Source organism: Homo sapiens, chromosome 17, assembly GCF_000001405.40.
Source record: "Homo sapiens chromosome 17, GRCh38.p14 Primary Assembly".
Lineage (NCBI taxonomy): Eukaryota > Metazoa > Chordata > Mammalia > Primates > Hominidae > Homo > Homo sapiens.
In genome coordinates this window covers 76,763,625-76,783,392 of record NC_000017.11, presented here as the reverse complement: position 1 = coordinate 76,783,392, position 19,768 = coordinate 76,763,625, and the positions used below count along the sequence as shown (strand labels likewise).

The 19,768-nt window shown below is 42.9% G+C and overlaps 1 protein-coding gene across 35 annotated transcripts in view; it reads right to left on the bottom strand.

Moving 5' to 3' along the window:
* Positions 1 to 19,768, bottom strand: part of MFSD11 (major facilitator superfamily domain containing 11) — a 67,172-nt gene that overhangs the window by 20,413 nt on the left and 26,991 nt on the right. For 21 of the 35 annotated variants that reach the window (NR_148231.2, NR_148229.2, NR_148230.2 and 18 more), the window contains 5 exons: positions 15,942 to 16,007; positions 13,522 to 13,647; positions 8,222 to 8,396; positions 6,852 to 6,987; positions 4,052 to 5,205 (listed from right to left, as the gene is read on the bottom strand). Coding sequence is in view for 22 of the 35 variants with exons in the window: in NM_001242534.3 (NP_001229463.1) it covers positions 5,041 to 5,205; positions 6,852 to 6,987; positions 8,222 to 8,396; positions 13,522 to 13,647; positions 15,942 to 16,007 (668 nt within the window). In the remaining 13 variants the exon portion in view is untranslated. Of the gene's footprint in view, positions 1 to 113; positions 2,353 to 4,051; positions 5,206 to 6,851; positions 6,988 to 8,221; positions 8,397 to 13,521; positions 13,648 to 15,941; positions 16,008 to 19,768 lie in introns of those variants that run through there. The other 14 variants (XM_047436733.1, XM_011525239.4, XM_017025065.3 and 11 more) reach the window with 4 other exon arrangements.

The following is a 19,768-nucleotide window of genomic DNA, read 5'->3' as shown; positions in this document are numbered from 1 at the left end:
AAAACACCTGTGGTTCAATAAACGTTGCTCAAGGTCTAAGCCAAATCTAAATATAGACAATATGAAACTTGCAATAAAAGAGCGGGACATCCACACACACAAACAAACACCCATGGGAGACCCAGCTACAGCATTTACTTAGCTACAAGTATGAAGACAAAAGTTTTGAACAGCATATATAAGACAAGCATAAAAATTAAACTATTTATTTCATTGTCACATTTCTTTTTTTTTTTTTTTGGAGCTGGAGTGCAGTGGCGTGATCTTGGCTCACTGCAACCTCTGCCTCCCGGGTTCAAGCAATTCTCCTGCCTCAACTTCCTGAGTAGCTGGGATTACAGGCTCCTGCCACCACACTTGGCTAATTTTTGTATTCTTAGTAGAGATGGGGTTTCACCATATTGGCCAGGCTGGTCTCGAACTCTTGACCTTGTGATCTGCCTGCCTTGGCCTCCCAAAGTGCTATGATTATAGGCGTGAGCCACCGTGCCTGGCCCCACATTTCATCTTTAACTCAAGTAATGCAAAGAATTTAAAAGATGACCTTAATGTTATCCAGTCATCTAAAGAGTCAACCAAGATCAAAACTATAGACACAAGAACTGAATAAAAGCAGCCCCGCGTGGTGGGCTCAAGCCTGTAATCCCGGCACTTTGGGAAGCTGAGGTGGGTGGATCATGAGGTCAAGAGTTCGAGACCAGCCTGGCCAACATGGTGAAGCCCCATCTCTACTAAAAAATACAAAAATTAGCCGGGCATGGTGGTGTGCACCTGTAGTCCCAGCTACTCGGGAGGCTGAGGCAGGAGAACTGCTTGAACCCGGGATGTGGAGGTTGCAGTGAGCCGAGATTGCGCCACTGCATTATAGCCTGGGTGACAGAGCAAGACTCTGTCTCAAAAAAAAAAAAAAAAAAAAAAGCCTGGGCGCGGTGGCTCACGCCTGTAATCCCAGCACTTTGGGAGGCTGAGACGGGTGGATCACTTGAGGTTGGGAGTTCAAGACCAGCCTGACCAACATGAGGAAACCCTGTCTCTATTATAAATACAAAATTAGCTGGGCATGGTGGCACATGCCTGTAATCCCAGCTACTTGGGAAGCTGAGGCAGGAGAATCGCTTGAACCCAGGAGGCAGAGGTTGCAGTGAGCCGAGATCGCGCCATTGCACTCCAGCCTGGGCAACAAGAGTGAAATTCCATCTCAAAAAATAAAAATAAAAAAGAACTGAATAAAAGCGCAACAAACTCCCCACAGGGGCCGGGGGCGGGGGAGAAAAAAAAGCATAGTAGCTCATTCCTGTAATCCCAGCATTTTGGAAGGCCGAGGCAGGAGGATCACTGGAGTCCAGGAGTTCAAGGCTAGCCTGGGCAAGATAAGACACTGCCTTTACAAAAAAAAAAAAAAAATTATCCAGGCATGGTGGTACATGCCTGTGGTCCTAGCTACTTGGGAGACTGAGGCCGGAATATTGCTTGAGCCCAAGACGTCAAAGCTGCAGTGAGCCATGACTGTGCCACTGTGATCCAGCCTGGGCAACAAAGCAAGACCCTGTCTCTAACAAAAAAGTGAGTACGAAACTGAAAATGAATACCATAGCACAAAGCCAGTAGGAGGCAGCCTAGGAAAAGCTGGGTTCCTGCCATACTGCACACAGCACTTCACTTCATTTCCTTTCCCTTTTGACAATAATCACCAGGAATCCTAGGGGTGACAAGATGCCATGGCTTCCTCAGATTAAAATTCTCAGTGTCATTAACAGAGGTGGCTTCACCTCCTTCTGCCAGCAGGGTTGTACAGATCCATTATGAGCAAACAGAGCAAGGGCCTGGAGAATGCGAGGCTTGGGAATACAGGACCCAGTTGTCACCTTCCATGTAAGTCTCAGTGTGACAGGTGACAAGGTGGGCAGCCTTGTAAGATGCTCCCCACCAATTCCCTCCCTGAGAATAGGCTGGAACTAGTGACTGGCACCTAACAGACAGAGTGCAACAGTGATGAAGTTATGAGAGACTGCGGCTTTTGTCTTGCTCTCGTTCTCTCCAGCTGTCCTTGCTTGTGACCTTTGATGGAGACAGCTGCCATGTCGTAGGCTGCCCTGAGGACTACTCCGTAGCATGATGAAGGGCAGAGGGCGATCTTTAGCCAATAGCCATAAGAAACCAAGATCCTTACTTAGCCTGACAGTCTGTGAGGAACTGACTCCTGCAACAACTATACGAGTGAGCAGGGAAGCAGGCCCTCCCCCAGTGAAGCCTGGAACACACCTTCACTGCAGCCTGCAGAGACATGGACTGCAGCCTGGAGAGACGCTCAGGACTCAGCTCAGCCATGCGCAGATTCCCGACCCACAGAAACTGTGATGAAATAGATGTGTGTTATTTTAAGTGGCTACGTTTTGAGGTAATTTGTTATGGCACATTAGAAAACTAATACACCTTGATAAATAATGTGCTTAAAGAGATAATAAATCACTACTGTTAAGTCTAAAAGGGCATTTGTAAATTATTTATATAGGATCAACTAAGCCAATGGAGGTTATATCAGCTTCAAAAAGGAAAACCAGAACTTCAAAATCTGGAGCCGCTGGGCGCAGTGGCTCACGCCTGTAATCCCAGCACTTTGGGAGGCTGAGGCAGGCGGATCATGAGGTCAAGAGTTCGAGACCAGCCTGACCAACATGGTGAAACCCCGTCTCTACTGAAAATACAAAAATTAGCCAGGCGGGGTGGTGCATGCCTGTAATCCCAGCTACTCAGGAGGCTGAGGCAGGAGAATCGCTTTAACCTGGGAGGCGGAGGTTGCAGTGAGCCAAGATTGCGCCACTGCACTCTAGCCTGGGCAACAGAGTGAGACGCTGTCTTGAAAAAAAAAAAAAAACACATACACAACAACCAAAAGACAACAACAACAAAAGTGAGCTCTTCCTAGGCACGGTGGCTCTTGTTTGTAATCCCCCCAGCACTTTGCGAGGCCATGGCAAGAAGATCACTTAAGCCCAGGAGTTCAAGACCAGCCTGAGCAACATAGGGAGACTCTGTCTCTACTAAAAATTTGAAAAGAAAAAAAAAACAAAACTGAGCTGTCTCATTTACATGAAATGTTCAAAATAAGCAAATCTATAGAGACAGAAAGTAGATTCGTGGTTGCCATGCCAGATGAGAAAGAATGACTGCTGACAGGCAGCGACTACTTTTTGGGGTGATAAAATGTCCTGGAATTAGATCATTGTGGTGGTTATGCAACCTTGTGAATGTACACTTTAAAATGGGACATTTTTATGGTTTCTGGATTTGATTTCAATTTAAAAAAAAAATTTAAGTGAGCTCTTATGGAGGGAAGCTAACACTTCCATTTAACATCTCCCCAAATAGTTATGTTCCATTCCCGCACCCAGGATGATAGACTTGCACTGCTCGAGGAGGACACATAAATGACGGTGTGACACTGGCCTGATGACGCAGCTCAGATCTCATTCCAGGTTTGTTTGGGGGTTTCTGCATTGCATCTTCCAGGAAAATTGCTAGCAAAAGTCCTCCCTCAGTAAATATGTTTGTCTTTTTCAATGTTTTTGTTGTTACAGATGTTAGATCCCTGTTCTTAAGACTTAAAGGACCGGGCATGGTGGCTCACCCCTGCAATCCCAGCACTTTGGGAGGCCGAGGCAGGTGAATCACCTGAGGTCAGGAGTTCCAGACCAGCCTGGCCAACATGGTGAAACCCCATCTCTACTAAAAATACAAAAATTAGCCAGGTGTGGTGGCACATGCCTGTAATCCTAGCTAGTTGGGAGGCTAAAGAATGAGAATTGCTTGAACCCGGGAGGCAGAGGTTGCAGTGAGCTGAGATCACGCCACTGCACTCTAGCCTAGGCGACAGAGTGAGACTCCGTCTCTAAATAAATAAATAAATAATAAATAAATTTTAAAAAAGACTTATGACAATTTTTACCTTATTTCATAATACTTAACTGGCCACTCCTTGCTATGAGCTACAAGGTAAGAAAACTTATCAAATGAAACATTTACAGAGGAAGACATCTTTTCAAAATCAATATTTCATTTCAGCATCTTGTTATTTATTTTTCATTATTTTAAAAAATTATCATTATTATTTTCTTTTCTTTTTTTTTTTTTTTTTTTTGAGATGGAGTTTCACTCTTGTCATCCAGGCTGGAGTGCAATGGCACGATCTCGGCTCACTGCAACCTCCGCCTCCCAGGTTCAAGCGAATTCTCTTACCTCAGCCTCCCTAGTAGCTAGGATTACAGGCATGCACCACCAAACCCAACACATTTTTGTATTTTTAGTAGAGATGAGGTTTCACCATGTTGGCCAGGCTGGTCTCAAACTCCTGACCTCAGGTGATCCACCCACCTCAGCCTCCCAAAGTGTTGGGATTACAGGCATGAGCCACTGTGACCAGCCTATTATTATTTTCAAGACAGGGTCTCACTCTGTTGCCCAGCCTGGAGTGCAGTGGTGTGATCATAGCTCACCGCAGCCTCAATCTCCTGGGCTGAAGTGATCCTTCTGTCTCAGCCTCCCCAACAGCTGGGAGTATAGCGGTGCAACACCACACCCAGCTTTGCTATTTATTTAAATGTCATTCTCCAACACATATGGGGAATGACATATGCTTCCCATTATTACATGGCAAAACATACTCCATATCCAGAAAAAATATTTATATGACATATGGCCTAGTATTCTAAATCAAGGCAGGATCTTCCAACAAGAGCAGGAGAGAGAAGAAAACATTTACATTCTATAACATGATTATAAGAATTGAGATAGATGAAATGAAAAACAACATCTTTGAACAATTACAGTTGACAGAACAGCTTTCCCTTATTCTACTTGCTTTAAATAACTCATATCTGTAAACTTGAACACCAACTCTGGCTGATTTAACAGTCTTAATCCCTTGATTTTCCATACTGAACATCACCCAATATATAGTGAAGATCAAAGGCGACTTCTTCCACCAAGCTCTGTGTCCAGCTGTGTTTCTGAGGTCATACGTGTCCCCTCACGGACACCAGATCAGATACTTCGGTAGTCAGAGCCGCGGGCTACAAAGGCGGCAGCTTCCCATTCCACAGTGAAGAAAGAAATTGTTCCAAAAAACCCAAATATCACCATGACCAGGAGTTGCCAGTGAAGGAGAAGGTAGTTGCTGTAGAAAAATGCCACGGCTGCGCAAATAGACTAAGAACAAACAAAACAAATCACAACGGGCGCACCGGGGGCCACACTGAGCCACAGTTAGCCCCTAGCCCCACTCCTATCCTGCCCCAAGGACACCTGGAACTCACAGTGCTTTCTATTCTTTCTGCATCAAGGTATGACTTCCTCAGTCACTGACTCACAAACATGCACCATAAACTCCTGCCACAGTTCCTGGTATTTAAAATAGCATTTTGGCCAGGTGTGGGGGTTCATGCCACCCAACACTTTGGGAGGCCAAGGTGGGAGAAATGCTTGAGCCCAGGAGTTCAAGACCAGCCTGCACAACATAGCAAGACCCCATCTCTACAAAATAAAATAAAATGAAACAAAAATAGCATTTTGTGGAAAACTGGAGTAACAAGAATGTACAGAGTAAGAAATACACTTGTCTGTATTACAAATGAATAGAATTCTGGTATCTAAGGAAGGAAATCTCTAATCAGAGCCATAGAGACCAGAACATAAAATCTGTTACACAAAAAATCTTACTGCTCATTGCTTCCTAATTCTAGTCATAAATCCTCTTAAAGGATGTCCCCAACTTTCATTTAAAAAACACAATACAAGACAAAAGCAAAAAAAGGAAAAAAAAAGAGGAAACAAAAAAATAAAATAAAATAAGAAACACAATATAGCCGGGGCGGTGGCTCATGTTTATAATCCCAGCACTTTGTGGGGCCCAAGCGGGCGGATCACTTGAGGCCAGTAGTTTGTGACCAGCCTGGCCAAAATGGCAAAACCTCATCTCTACTAAAAATATAAAAACTTAGCTGAACATGGTAGTGCACTCCTGTAATCCCACCTACTTGGGAGGCAGAGATTGCACTGAGCCAAGATCGTGCCACTGCACTCCAGTCTGGACTACAGAGTGAGACTGTCTTTTTTTTTTTTTTTTTTTTGAGACGGAGTCTCGCTCTGTGGCCCAGGCTGAAGTGCAGTGGCGCGGTCTGGGCTCACCGCAAGCTCCGCCTCCCGGGTTCACACCATTCTCCTGCCTCAGCCACCCAAGTAGCTGGGACTACAGGCACGTGCCACCACGCCCGGCTAATTTTTTTGTATTTTTAGTAGAGACAGGGTTTCACCGTGTTAGCCAGGATGGTCTCCATCTTGTGACCTCGTGATCCGCCCACCTTGGCCTCCCAAAGTGCTGGGATTACAAGTGTGAGCCGCGGCGGGCCGACTTTGTCTTTAAAAAAAAATAAAATAAAAAAATAGACCAGGTGCGGTGGCTCACGCATATAATCCCCAGCACTTTGGGAGGCCAAGGCAGGTGGATCACCTGAGGTCAGAAGTTTGAGACCAGCCTAACCAACGTGGTGAAACCCTGCCTCTGCTAAAAAGAAAAAAAAAATACAAAAATTAGCCAGGCATGGTGGTGTGCACCTGTAATCTCAGCTACTCAGGAGGCTAAGGCAGGAGAATTGCTTGAACCCGGGAGGCGGAGGTTGCAGCGAGTCAAGATTGCGCTACTGCACTCCAGCCTGAGTGACAGAGAGAGACTCTATCAAAAAAATAAAAATAAATAAATAAAAATTAAAACCACAATACAAGTAACCAAGGAAAACAAGGCAATACACAAAGGGAAGAGCCCTATGTCAAACACAATCACAATCTGAAGAGGTTACCTGAACAAACTTGAAGATGGCAAATGCTGGGGCGCTGTCTTCAGAATACAGAAAGCCCAAGATACTAAGCAGCTGGGTATTAAAGCAGCTGTCTCCAAGGCCCAACAGAAAACTGCAGAGAATGGCAACTTCTTTGCTGAAGAAAATAAAAATCAATTTAGTATGAGCAATATCTGCTAGAGCCATTTAAAATATACAAGCAACCCACCCACAAAAGAATTCTACCTGCAAGTTGTAAACACTATGAAACAAAAATAAAGACAAAGCTGGTGCGGTGGCTCACACCTGGAATCCCAGCACTTTGGGAGGCTGAGGTGGGCAGATCACTTGAAGACAGGAGTTTGAGACCAGCCTGGCCAACATGGCAAAACCCCATCTCTACTAAAAATATAAAAATTAGCTGGGCATAGTGGCGCGTGCCTGTAATCCCAGCTACTCGGGAGGCTGAGACACGAGAATCACTTGAACCCCGGAGGTGGAGGTTGCAGTGAGCGGAGATCACGCCACTTGCATTCTAGGCTGGCAGACAGAGTGAGACTCTGTCTCAAAATAAATAAATAAATAAATAAAAATAAAACATAAAGACTAGAATTTACAAAGTAAGAATTTTTGCTCAAATGCACACACCTTTACATTCTAACAAACTCTGGTCTCAACCATTTGTGAAGAAAATGCAGGTTGAGTATCCCTTATCAAGACCAGAAGTGTTTCAAATTTTCTTTTCAGATTTTGGAACATCTGCATTACACTGACCAGTTAGGTATTTTTAATCTGAAAATCTGTAACCTGAAATGTTCTAATAACACTTCCCTTTGAGCATCATGTTGGCCCTTGAAAAGTTTCAGATTTTCAGATGCGATATACTCAGTTTGTATAGTTTTTTGGGCTGGGCTCCCCTTGGATTTGTGGAGCTGGACATAAATGTCTGCGTTTATAATGAACTTGAGAGTTGAGTGCACTAAACCGATATCCTCAAACGTTATATAAACTGCTCTGGAAGGACTGAATGGCCTCCCCGGTTGCCAGGTTCTCCCTCGCTCCTCTTTGTTCTTCCTCCAGGCCCTAATGTCTGGATATTTCACTGCTTAAGAAGCAGAGATAAAAAATTCAAATCAGATACTTACGTGCTCCTTCAAGGATCAAGAAAAAGATTTAGTGGGGGAAAAGGTTAAAACCAACTATTACAAAAATAACTTAGGATTCTCTAAGGATTCCTATTTAAACTCAGTCTGACTCCATGAACACTTGACAGATGACCTTAGAGAGACACCAGGCTCTCTGAAGAGGATTAACTGCTCCACTTTCAGTATCTAGCCATCCGTTACCTCCCACCCGTACTCAAGCGACTAGAGAAATGACAGCCACTATACCTGGATTTGATGTAAGCACTGCTGTCAGTTCCTTTAACAGGAGCAATCGGGGCATCTCCAGGCATGTTGAGAAATATTAGATAAAAAGCTATGAAGTGCACCAGGATGCCCAACAGCACAACTGGATTTCTACCAAAACGATTGTTCTTGCTCAGCAGGCCGAAGAGGCTTCCACCTATAAGTCAAGATGGCAGAAACGTCACTAATGTTGCCGAAACATCACATACCCAGGCCTGAGTTACCACCAAGGAGCCAAGGAATAAACATTCTCACTTGTTAAATTTCTTCAAAAAACCCAACACCTCAGCACTTGCAGACAATGATAATGATGACCAAGCATCAACTATTAGAACAAAAAAGTAAGGTATCAAAATGACTTGCATTTCTATCCAGGAACATTCTTGTATTTCTTCTCTGTGAATTATTGTACCCCACAAGCTATCCCCTTTGACCTGTAGCTTATAACAGAAATAAAATAAGGACACAACTTGTCATTATGACCACGTTTTTGTTGCAATCATAGCCAAACAAGCCAAGGTATCACACTGAAAGGCAGTCACTATGGATTCTGAGAATTATGTGTGAGCTCCGAAGGGGAGTCAGAGAGGCCTAGGAAGAGTCAGCAGCCAGAACAGCTAGGATATCTCAAAAGCTGAGAGGAGAATCCTCAAGAGTGAGAAGAGGAGAACTCTGTAACTGAAAGGAAGAAGACCTTTATAATTTTTAAGTGATTTCTACCCCAGAAATCGATACCAGCAAACCTATATATCAAAAGTGAAGGATGGCTGGGTGCAGGGTCTCATGCCTGTAATCCCAGCACTTTGGGAGGCCAAGGTGGGAGAATTGCTTGAGGCCAGGAGTTCCAAACCAGCCTCAGCAACATAGCAAGACGCTGTCTTTTTTAAAAAAAGAAAGAAAAAATTGTATATATATTTTTTAAAAAGTGGGCCAGGTACAGTGGCTTACACCTGTAATCCCAGCCCTTTGGGAGGCCAAGGCGGGCAGATCACCCGAGGTCAGGAGTTCGAGACCAGCCTGGCCAACATGGTGAAACCCTGTCTCTAGTAAAAATACAAAAATTAGCCAGGTGTGGTGGCACATGCCTGTAGTCCCAGCTACTTAAGAGGCAGAGGCAGGAGAATCACTTGAACCCAGGGGGCAGATGTTGCAGTGAACCAAGATCATGTCATTGCACTCCAGCACGGGTGACAGAGCAAGACTCTGTCTCAAAAAAATAAAAAAATAATTTAAAAAAATTTAGAAAGTTGCTGGGCATGGTGGCTCACGCCTGTAATCCCAGCACTTTGGGAGGTCAAGGTGGGCAGATCACGAGGTCAAGAGATCAAGACCATCCTGACCAACATGGTGAAACCCTGTCTCTACTAAAAATACAAAAATTAGCTGGGCGTGGTGGCGTGCGCCTGTAGTCCCAGCTACTCAGGAGGCTGAAGCAGGAGAATCGCTTGAACCCAGGAGGTGGAGGTTGCAATGAGCCAAGATTGCGCCACTGCACTCCGCCTGGCAACTGAGCGAGACTCCGTCTGGAAAAAAAAAATTTAAAAAGTGAAGGTTAACAGTAAAAACAAAACAAAACAAAAAAACCCTGCCTAGAAAATGGGCAAAAGATATGCACATACACGTCACCAAAGAAGATATAAAGAGGGTAAATACACACATGAAAAGATGCTCAACATCATTACCCATTAAAGACAAAGTAAAACCACAATGAAACATGACTACACATCTATCACAATCGCTAACATCAAAAACAGTGATAACACCAAGTGCTGGCAAGGATTCAGAAAAACGGAATCACTCACACATTGCTGGTACAGCCACTCTGGAAAATATCTGGCAGTTCCTCTCAAGAGTAGGCAGCAGAGGGAGAAAGAACCCAGGCGGAGGCCAGCAGCCCCCATGGATTGAAGAGACGGGGATGTGACTCTAGGGATATCAGGGTGACCAGAGTTCACAGACAACGGTATCAGAAAGGAAAGCTACACAGAAAAACAATTCCAGAGAGCTGCAGACAGTCCCCCTGAGTCTTCAGCTGAGGACTGATCAGTACATAAAGTGAGCAAATTAGCAGAAGTCTGGGAAAGAACCAGCCAAGAGGATTAGTGGTATTAGGGCCCCGCCCTCAGCTGGGTATAGTGTCTGGTCCCACCAGCCACTTAAAAGCTTATGATTCACAGGAACTGGGTGGAGCACACAGAAGGGTCTTCCCTTAGAAGCAGGAAATAATTAGCCCTAGACTGAGTAATGCTCCAGTCCTGCCCAACAAATCTTAAAAGGTATGCTGTTTTCAATTAAATGAACTACATCTAAGAACAAAGCTCAAAAATACTGACAGGAGGGCCAGGTGCAGTGGCTCATGCCTGTAATTCCAGCACTTTGGGAGGCCGAGGTGGGTGGATCAAGAGGTCAGGAGATTGAGACCAGCCTGGCCAACATGGTGAAACCCCATCTCTACTAAAAATACAAAAATTAGCCAGGCGTGGTAGCGGTTGCCTGTAGTCCCAGCTACTTGGGAGGCTGAGGCAGAAGAATTGCTTGAATCCCAGCAGCGAAGGTTGCAGTGAGCCAAGATCGAGCCACTGCACCCCAGCCTGGGCAACAGAGCAAGACTCTGTCCTTAAAAAAAAAAAAAAAAAAAAGTTACTAAGGTAGAGCGTTAACAATAGATGAATCCTGTTAAAGGATATTCAGATGTTCATTGTACTATTTTTATTTTTGCAATTTCTTTTTTTGTTTTGGTTTTTTGGTTTTTTTGAGACAGAATCTTGCTCTGTGGCCCAGGCTGGAGTGCAGTGGTGTGATCTGGATTCACTGCAACCTCCCACTTCAGCCTCCCAAGTAGCTGGGACGACAGGCATACGCCACTACACCTGGCTAATTTTTTTGTACTTTTTTTGTAGAGATGGGGTTTTGCCATGTTGCCCAGGCTGGTCTCAAACTCCTGAACTCAAGCGATCTGCCCACCTCAGCTCCCCAAAGTGCTAGAATTATAGGCGTGAGCACTGTGCCTGGCCTATTTTCGCAATTTCTTATCAATTTGAAATTATTTTTTTCAAAAAAGCAGGTTGCCTACAGAAAGTGAGTTTCTTCCCAGGTAGTCTACAGGCAGACACTAAACAAGCACTTACCAGAGAAGACAACCCTGCACTGACTCACCATGGCTAAGCTTCGCCCGCCATTTACATACCCATAACTCCCAACATCAACCTCCAGCCCACGAGTCCCTCCTGAGCATCAGCCTGCATTTCCCACTGGACACTTCTCTACTTGGGTGCCTCTCTGGTACTTAGAGGTGTTCAAAATCCCATTCAGCAGATTTCCTCAAACCCCATCTCCTACAGCATTCTCTCTGCCCAGGTTACTCTGATCAACCTGGTCATCATTCTAGACATCTCTCCTCACACCACCACGCAACTGGTTACTAAGTTCTGCTGAAACCATGTTCTCATTATTCATTCAACACATTTAACTCATTTATTGGATGCCCAATATAGACCTTGTCCTGCTCCAGGTGTTGGCAATAAGGCAGGGGCCAAAAAGCAAAAACAAACAAACCCTCCAAAGTCCGCTTTACCCATGGTGCTTACCACTGCCTGACATACAAAGATTTCTGTTTTTATTGTCTGTATTCTTCCTCAAGAATATAAGCTCTATATGGGCAGGTATTTTTGTCTATTTTGTTGACATGACAGATTACAATAAACCTTTGTTGAAGTTCCTCATATCTAACACAATATTCAATATACTGCAAGTGCTGAACAAATCTTTGTTGAACAAAGAATAACTCGTGGAGCATAATAAAAATACATATTTGGTCTTTGCTGCTAGTTCTTGGCACAGAAATCCTAAAAGGCCTGGAATTTCCTCAGTGATACGAGGGACATTAGTTATTCAGAAAGAGCCACTTTCAACCATACTGAAGTTTACGCTAAGGGGGCAACCCTTGGGGAGAGAGGGGTTGGCCTAGGATAGAGCTTCAGGATGAGGCTGGTTCCCAGAAAGACCAAGCCCTGAGGGCTAGAACTTCCAGGCCCCTTTCACTCCCACTTCAGGGAGGGAAGGCTGGAGATTAAATCAATCACCAATGGCCAATGATTGTTTTTTTGTTGTTGTTAGAGACAGGGTCTCCTTATGTTGTCCAGGCTGATCTCGAACTCCTGGGCTCAAGTGATCCTCCCACCTCGGCCTCCCAAAGTGAATGAGCCACTGCACCCGGCCATGTGGCCAATGATTTAATCAAGCATGCCTATGTAACAGGATCTCCATAAATCCCCCTAAACAGGGTTGGAGGAGCTTCTGGAGTGGTGAGCCCAAAATCCATGGAGACAGAGGCTCCTGCACTTAGGGACCCTTTCAGACCCCACCCTTTGCACCTCCTCATCAGGCTGCTCATCTGTATCCTTTATAATAAACTCTAATAGTCAGGAGAGCATTTTCCTGAGTTCTGTGAGTTGCTCTAGCAAATTATCAAACATGAAGGGGGAAGAGGGCTATGGGAACCTCCAAATTTGTACCCAAGTCAGAGAGGTGTGCCTGAGAGGCCTATGGACCCAGACTGTCTGTCTGTAGGACTGAACCCTTAAACCTGTGGAATCTGACACTAACTTTGGAGAGTTAAGTGTTAGAACAGGATTGAGCTGTTGGACACCCAGTTGGTGACAGGGAATCAGAGAACCAGAGTCAGGAATTCCAAGACTTTCTAAATATTTTAGGAGGAAAAGTCGGGAGACATTGTATGTTTTCTTACACAGGGTTTCCATCTGTGAATTATTTTGCAAATGTTTTATAATTTAGTTATATTAGAATAGCAATAATAGGCCGGGCATGGTGGCTCACACCTGTAATCCCAGCACTTTGGGAGGCCGAGGTGGGCGGATCATGAGGTCAGGAGATCGAGACCATCCTGGCTAATGCGGTGAAACCCCGTCTCTACTAAAAATACAAAAAAATTAGCCGGGCATAGTGGCGGGCGCCTGTAGTCCCAGCTACTCGGGAGGCTGAGGCAGAAGAATGGCGTGAACCCGGGAGGCGGAGCTTGCAGTGAGCTGAGATCGCACCACTGCACTCCAACTCTAGCCTCGGCGACAGAGCGAGACTCTGTCTGGAAAAAAAAAAAAAAAAAGAAAAAGAATAGCAATAATAGAAAAATAAAAACACACGTTTGGGTAAAAATAAGTAGAAAAAACAGAAATTCAAGGACAAAGGTGAAGCACACTTAAAATTTCTATTTTACCTATAATAAACTGATATTTTTAATGCAAACGCTTTTTTTTAAAACCAACCTAAAATTTCTCCAATGCCGATGAAAATGCCAGAAAGTCCAATAAGGCTTTTCTCTTCTGCTCCAAATTTATTTGTAGCACCAATACAGGTTCCATATACACCAGAGAAGAAAGTTAATTCCAGACCTTTAGTTAAAGAAAAAAAACAGATGTCATTTATATATTCACATTTTTGTTTATCTTCCCATCTAGTAGTATCTGACGAAAGAATACTTGCGTAGTAAAACACATAAAACTCACAGAGACTGAAATATTAATCCCCAAGCAGAGCATAATGTGATGTAACTGATGAAATGGAATTAGCTTCATGCTATGGACTAAATGTTTGTGTCCTCCCCAGATTCACATATTGAAACTCAAATTCCCCAAAACATGATGGTATTTGGAGATGGGGCCTTTTGGAGGCAATTAGGCCATGAGGGTGGAGCCCTCTCGATGTGATTAGTGCCCTTATAAATAGAGACAACAAAAAGCTTGCTTCCTGTCTGCTCTCTGCCATGGGAGGACACAGCAAGAAGGCAGCTGTCTACAACCAGGAACAGCCCACACCACAAGCTGCGCATGGTGGCATCCTGCTCTCAGACTTCCCAGCCTCCAGAACTGTGAGAAATAAGTGTCTGTTGTTTAAGCCACACAGTCTATGGAAATTTGTTATAGCAGCTAAAATTAAGATACCACAAGACGGCATCTGCCATATATTTCAGGTAAAAGTATACAACTCAAATGAACAGATATCCTTATGTTAAAACCTATCACTCTCCATGCAGGCGGAGATGGGCAGAGGTGATAATTAACATAACTTTGTAACAGTGAAGACTAACATGCTCATTAACCTTGTTAGTAGCTTTCCAAAGAAACAGGAACATTCTTTTTTTTTTTTTTTTTTGAGAGAGAGTCTTGCTCTGTTGCCCAGGCTGGAGTGCAGTGGCGCTATCTCAACTCACTGCAACCTCTGCCTCCCAGGTTCAAGCAATTCTCCTTGCCTCAGCCTCCCAAGTAGCTGGGATTACAGGCATGCACCACCACACCCGGGTAATTTATGTATTTTTAGTAGAGACGGGGTTTCACCATTTTGGCCAGGCTGGTCTCGAACTCCTGACCCCAGGTGATCCACCCACCTCGGCCTCCCAAAGTGCTGGGATTACAGACATGAGCCACTGTGCCCAGCCCCTATTCAATTATATTCTTACTGTAATGGAAAGCCAATACATACTATACAATGTGTCTTAAAAGCACCATAATGTTTTAATTAAACCCCTTTTTCTAGGAAAAGAAAATTCCAAAGATTAAAAAATTAGAGTAAATCAGTAGGGGACCTTGATTCCCTAATGCTACAAAACCTTAACTGTGAATTTTAAAGATGTTTAATGTTTATTCTATTTCACCTAAAAATATGTTGTATCTATGAGGCACATAAGGGAAAAGATTAACTAGCAAATTACAGCATTTTTTAAAAGAAAACAAATTTCTTTATCATTCTTGACTTAAGGGTACCCCGCCTGCTATCATACCACATTATGACATGCTTCTATTTCATTAGAAATGACTTTTTTTTTTTTTTTTTTTGAGACGGAGGTCTTTACTCCCGTGGCCCAGGCTGGAGTATAGTGGTGCCATCTTGGATCATGCAACCTTGACTTACTGAGCTCAGGTGATTCTCCCACCTCGGCCTCCTGAGTGGCTGGGGCTACAGGCATGCACCACCATACTCGGCTAATTTTTTGTATTTTTAGTAGAGATGGGGTTTTGCCATGTTGCCCAGGCTGGTCTTGAACTCCTGGGCTCAAGCAATCCACCCGCCTCAGCCTCCCAAAGTGCTGGGATTACAGGCGTGAGCCACTGCACCTGTCCAGAAATGATTTTAATCCATATAAAGTTACAGATTTCTTCATGGTTATTTTCTGTAGCGCTCTGCATTGCCTAAAACCACTGGTCCCAAAGAGCCACGTGTCCTGGTTTTTCTGAACCTTGTGTGGAATCCTTCCACACTGAATTTGGGCCAACCCTGTGATTTGCTGTCACCAACAGAATCCAGTAGAAGTGATGCTGGGCTAGACTGAAGCCTGAGCTTTAAGAAGGTCTGGTATTCTTTCCTGTTGCCTTTTTTGGAGCCATCAGTCCATTAACTAAGGTGTCTGGCTATCCTGCCAGATCACAAGGTGATCTTATGGAGGGGGTCGTGGAGATGGAGAGCAGCTCTGAGACTACACAAAAAGAGAGATATTCAGCCTATCATCTGACCACAGTGAAGGCGACACGTGAAGGAAACCAGCCACAAGAGACCCCAAGTGACACCATGAGAAGAACCATTCACTGAGTCCAGTCACTGCACAGAATTGTGAGAAATAATAACGTGGCTCGTTTTCAACTCCTTATTGTCATTATGCAGCAAGAGAAAATAAGAACAGTAATTCCATTACCTGTATAAGCAGTTGTAATACTAAGAAGGAGCATCTCCTTGGTGACACATAACTTAAAAGACTTTTCTGTAAACACAAAAATTTAAGAGTACTTAATTAGATTTTAGTTAATAAAACAAACATTCTAAAACTTCCTTCAACCAAAACACCCCTTGTCAATAATGCCAGTAAACGAACACTTTGGGATATAACTTTCAGATTAAAATGCTTAAGGCATGAACTACATTTGCCCTATAAATAAAACGTTTATTTCAAGTGCTTAAATACATTCTACAGATGCATTTCCTCAGCACATTTTCCAGCTCTTATAACAAAAACATGAAAAGGAAGAAAAAAAATAGAATCAAACAAAACAACAAAGTACTTCAAAAGGCATGATTAACCGTTAGGCTCTTGAGAGAGTCAACAATCAGCAAAGCACTGACTTCCCTAAAGAATTATCATGGAGCAGCTTTAAGAGTGGACTCAAGATCAGAATCACAGGGCAGCTTTTTGGCCATACAGAAGCTGGGCACCACTTCCCAAGATTCTGACTCTGTAGCTCTGAGGACTGAAACTTGCATTGTGCATATTTGTTTCTAGTCACTTTAATGTTTGCTTTTACACTGTTTATTTAGTTGAAATCTGCAATGGATAATGCATTTCTAAAAACTCCACATTTAACTGACTTTTTTGGAACCTATTCACATTTCATAATTTAAGGACCACTACTCTAGTACACAAAACTAACAGTGGATCCAGATTTTAATTGTGATATATCTGCTGGCCACGAAACTTACCTAAGTCACAAACACTGGCCTAAATCTCTCCATATGTAAGAAAGGATACTTTTTTCTCTAATTTCACTGAACTATACTAAGAATAAATATAAGAAGACATTTTGTACCAATCATTTTCAAGTATTTCCAGCAAAAAAATACACAACCAGTGCAAAGTTTAAAACAATACTTTTAACTTAAAAAACTACTAGCAAAGCATGTTCATTTTATTTTATTTATTTATTTAGGTTTCTTTCTTTTTTTTTTTTTTTTTTGAGACAGAGTCTCACTTTGTCACCCAGGCTGGAGTAGAGTGGCGCGATCTTGGCTCACTGCAGCCTCCCCCTCTAGGGTTCAAGCGATTCTCCTGCCTCAGCCTCCTGAGTAGCTGGGATTATAGGCCCATACCACCATGCCCGGCTAATTATTTTGTACTTTTAGTAGAGAAGGGGTTCTGCCATGTTGGCCAGGCTGGTCTCGAACTCCTGACCTCAGGTGATCCACCCACCTCGGCCTCCCAAAGTGCTAGGATCACAGACGTGAGCCATCACTCCTGGCCACATGTTCATTTTAGAAAAATCAGAAGACTTAGCTAACAAAAAGAAATTCTAAAAGATTATCTAGTATGATCCTATCATGATGAATGCATGTCATTATATATTTGTACAAACCCATAAAAGGTACCACACCAAGAGTGAATCCTAACGTAAACCATGGTCTTTAGGTGATAACGACATGTCAGTGTAGGCTCATTATAACAAATGTGCTCTGGTGGGGAACATTAATAACAGAGGGAAGTTCCATACATGTGGTATAGGGGCCACATGGGAACTCTACTTTCTGCCCAGTTTTGTTATGAGCATAAAATGATCTAAAAAATAAAGTCTATTAAAAAACCCATCAATCTATTTGCAGAAATAGATTGATCCTAAAATTCATGGCCAGACCTGGTGGCTCATGCCTATAATCCCAACAATTTGGGAGGCTGACTTGGGAGAATCGCTTGAGCCAAGACCAGCTTGGGCAACATGGCGAAATCCTGTCTCTACAAAACACTACAAAAATTAGCCAGGCATGGTGGTGCACACCTATAGTCCCAGCTACTTGGAAGGCTAAGATGGGAGGATCGCTTGAGCCTGGGAGGTTGAGGCTGCAGTGAGCTCTGATCAAGCCACTGTACTCCGCCCTAGGCGGCAGAGCAACACCCTGTCTCAAAAAAAAAAAAAAAAAAAAAAAAAAAAGGAAATTCAAGGGACCCACAATAGCCAAAATAATATTGAAAAGTAACAAAGTTGGAGGATTCACACTTTCCAATTTCAAAATATACAAGATTCAACACAGCATGGTACTGGCATAAGAATATATCTATCTATCTAGAGATAAATGTTTATATCTACAGTCAATTGATTTTTGACAAGAGTGACAAAAAAACAGACTTTTCAGCAAATGGCGTGACTACAACAGGATATTGACATGCAAAAGAATAAAGCTGGATTTCCATCTCAAACCATATGTAAAAATTAACTGAAAATGAATCACAGACCTAAATGTAAGAGCTAAAACTAAAAAAACTTTTAAAAGAAAATATAGGAGTAAATTTTCAGGACCTGGGGTGAAGCAAAATCTTAGGACATCAAAAGCACACACAACAGAAGAAAAACTAAACAAATTGACTACATCAAAATTAAAAACTTTATCAAAGCCACAGTAAGACATCCCCTCACACCTGTTGGGATGGCTATTATCAAAAAGACAAAAGGTAACAAGTGTTGGTGAGGATGTGGAGGAAAGACAACCCTTGTACGCTATTGGTGAGGATGTAAATTGGTACAGCGAACATGGAAAACAATATGGAAGGTCCTCAAAATACTAAAAACATGTTATGATCCAGCAATTCTACCTCTGGGCATATATCCAAAGGAAATGAAAGCAGTATCTCAAAGTGATAGCTGCACTCCCATGTTCATTACAGCACTATTATATGTATATGTGTGTGTGTGTGTGTGTATTAATTATATAGCAAAGACATGGAAACAACTAAGTGTCCTTAAACGGATGAATAAAGAAAATGTGGTATATACAATGGTATATTATTCAGCCTTACAAAAGGAAATCCTGCCATTTAGGGCAACGTGGATGAACCTGAAGAGCATTACGCTAAGTGAAATAAGCCAGACACAGAAAGACAAATACTGCATGATCTTACTTATATGGGGAATATTAAAAAGTCAAACTCATAGAAGCAGAGAGTAGCATAGTGGTTGCCGGGGCTGGAGGGTGGGGGAAATAGGGAGACGTTGGTTAAAGAGTACAAAGTTTTCGTTAGGCAGGATGAGTGAGTGCTGAGGATCTAATGTACAACTTGGTGTTGACAGTTAATAACACTCTATTGTATACTTGAAATTTGGTTGGAAAGTAGATCTTAAATGTTCTCATTACACATGCAAAAAAAAGATAACTATGTGAGGTGATGGATATGTTAACTAGCTTGAGTGTGACCATCATTTCACAATGTATACATATATCAAAACACGTGGCCGAGTGCTAGGGCCCACGCCTGTAATCCCAGCACTTCGGGAGGCAGGCGAATTGCTTGAGGCCCAGAGTTCAAGATTAGCTGGGCCAACATGGTAAAACCCCATCTCTATTAAAAATACAAAAAAATTAGCTGGGCATGGTGGTATACCCCTGTAATCCCAGCTACTCGGGAGGCTGAGGCACCAGAATTGCCTGAACCCAGGAGGAGGAGGCTGCAGTGAGCTGAGATCATGCCACTGTACTCCAGCCTGGGTGACAGAGCAAGATTCTGCCTCAAAAAAAAAACAAAAACAAAAACATGTTGTACCTCATAAATATATACAATTTTTGTAAGTTATACCTCGATAAAGTTGGGGGAATTTTTTTTTTTTAAGTTTTGTGCTTCAAAAGATACTATCAAGAAAATGAAAAGTCAATCTATAGAACGGGAGAAAACATTTGTTTGTTTTCCTAGAGCGTTTGCTGAAACAAAATGGGAGAAAATATTTGTAAATCATATATATAGAACTTTTATCTAGAATATATAAAGAA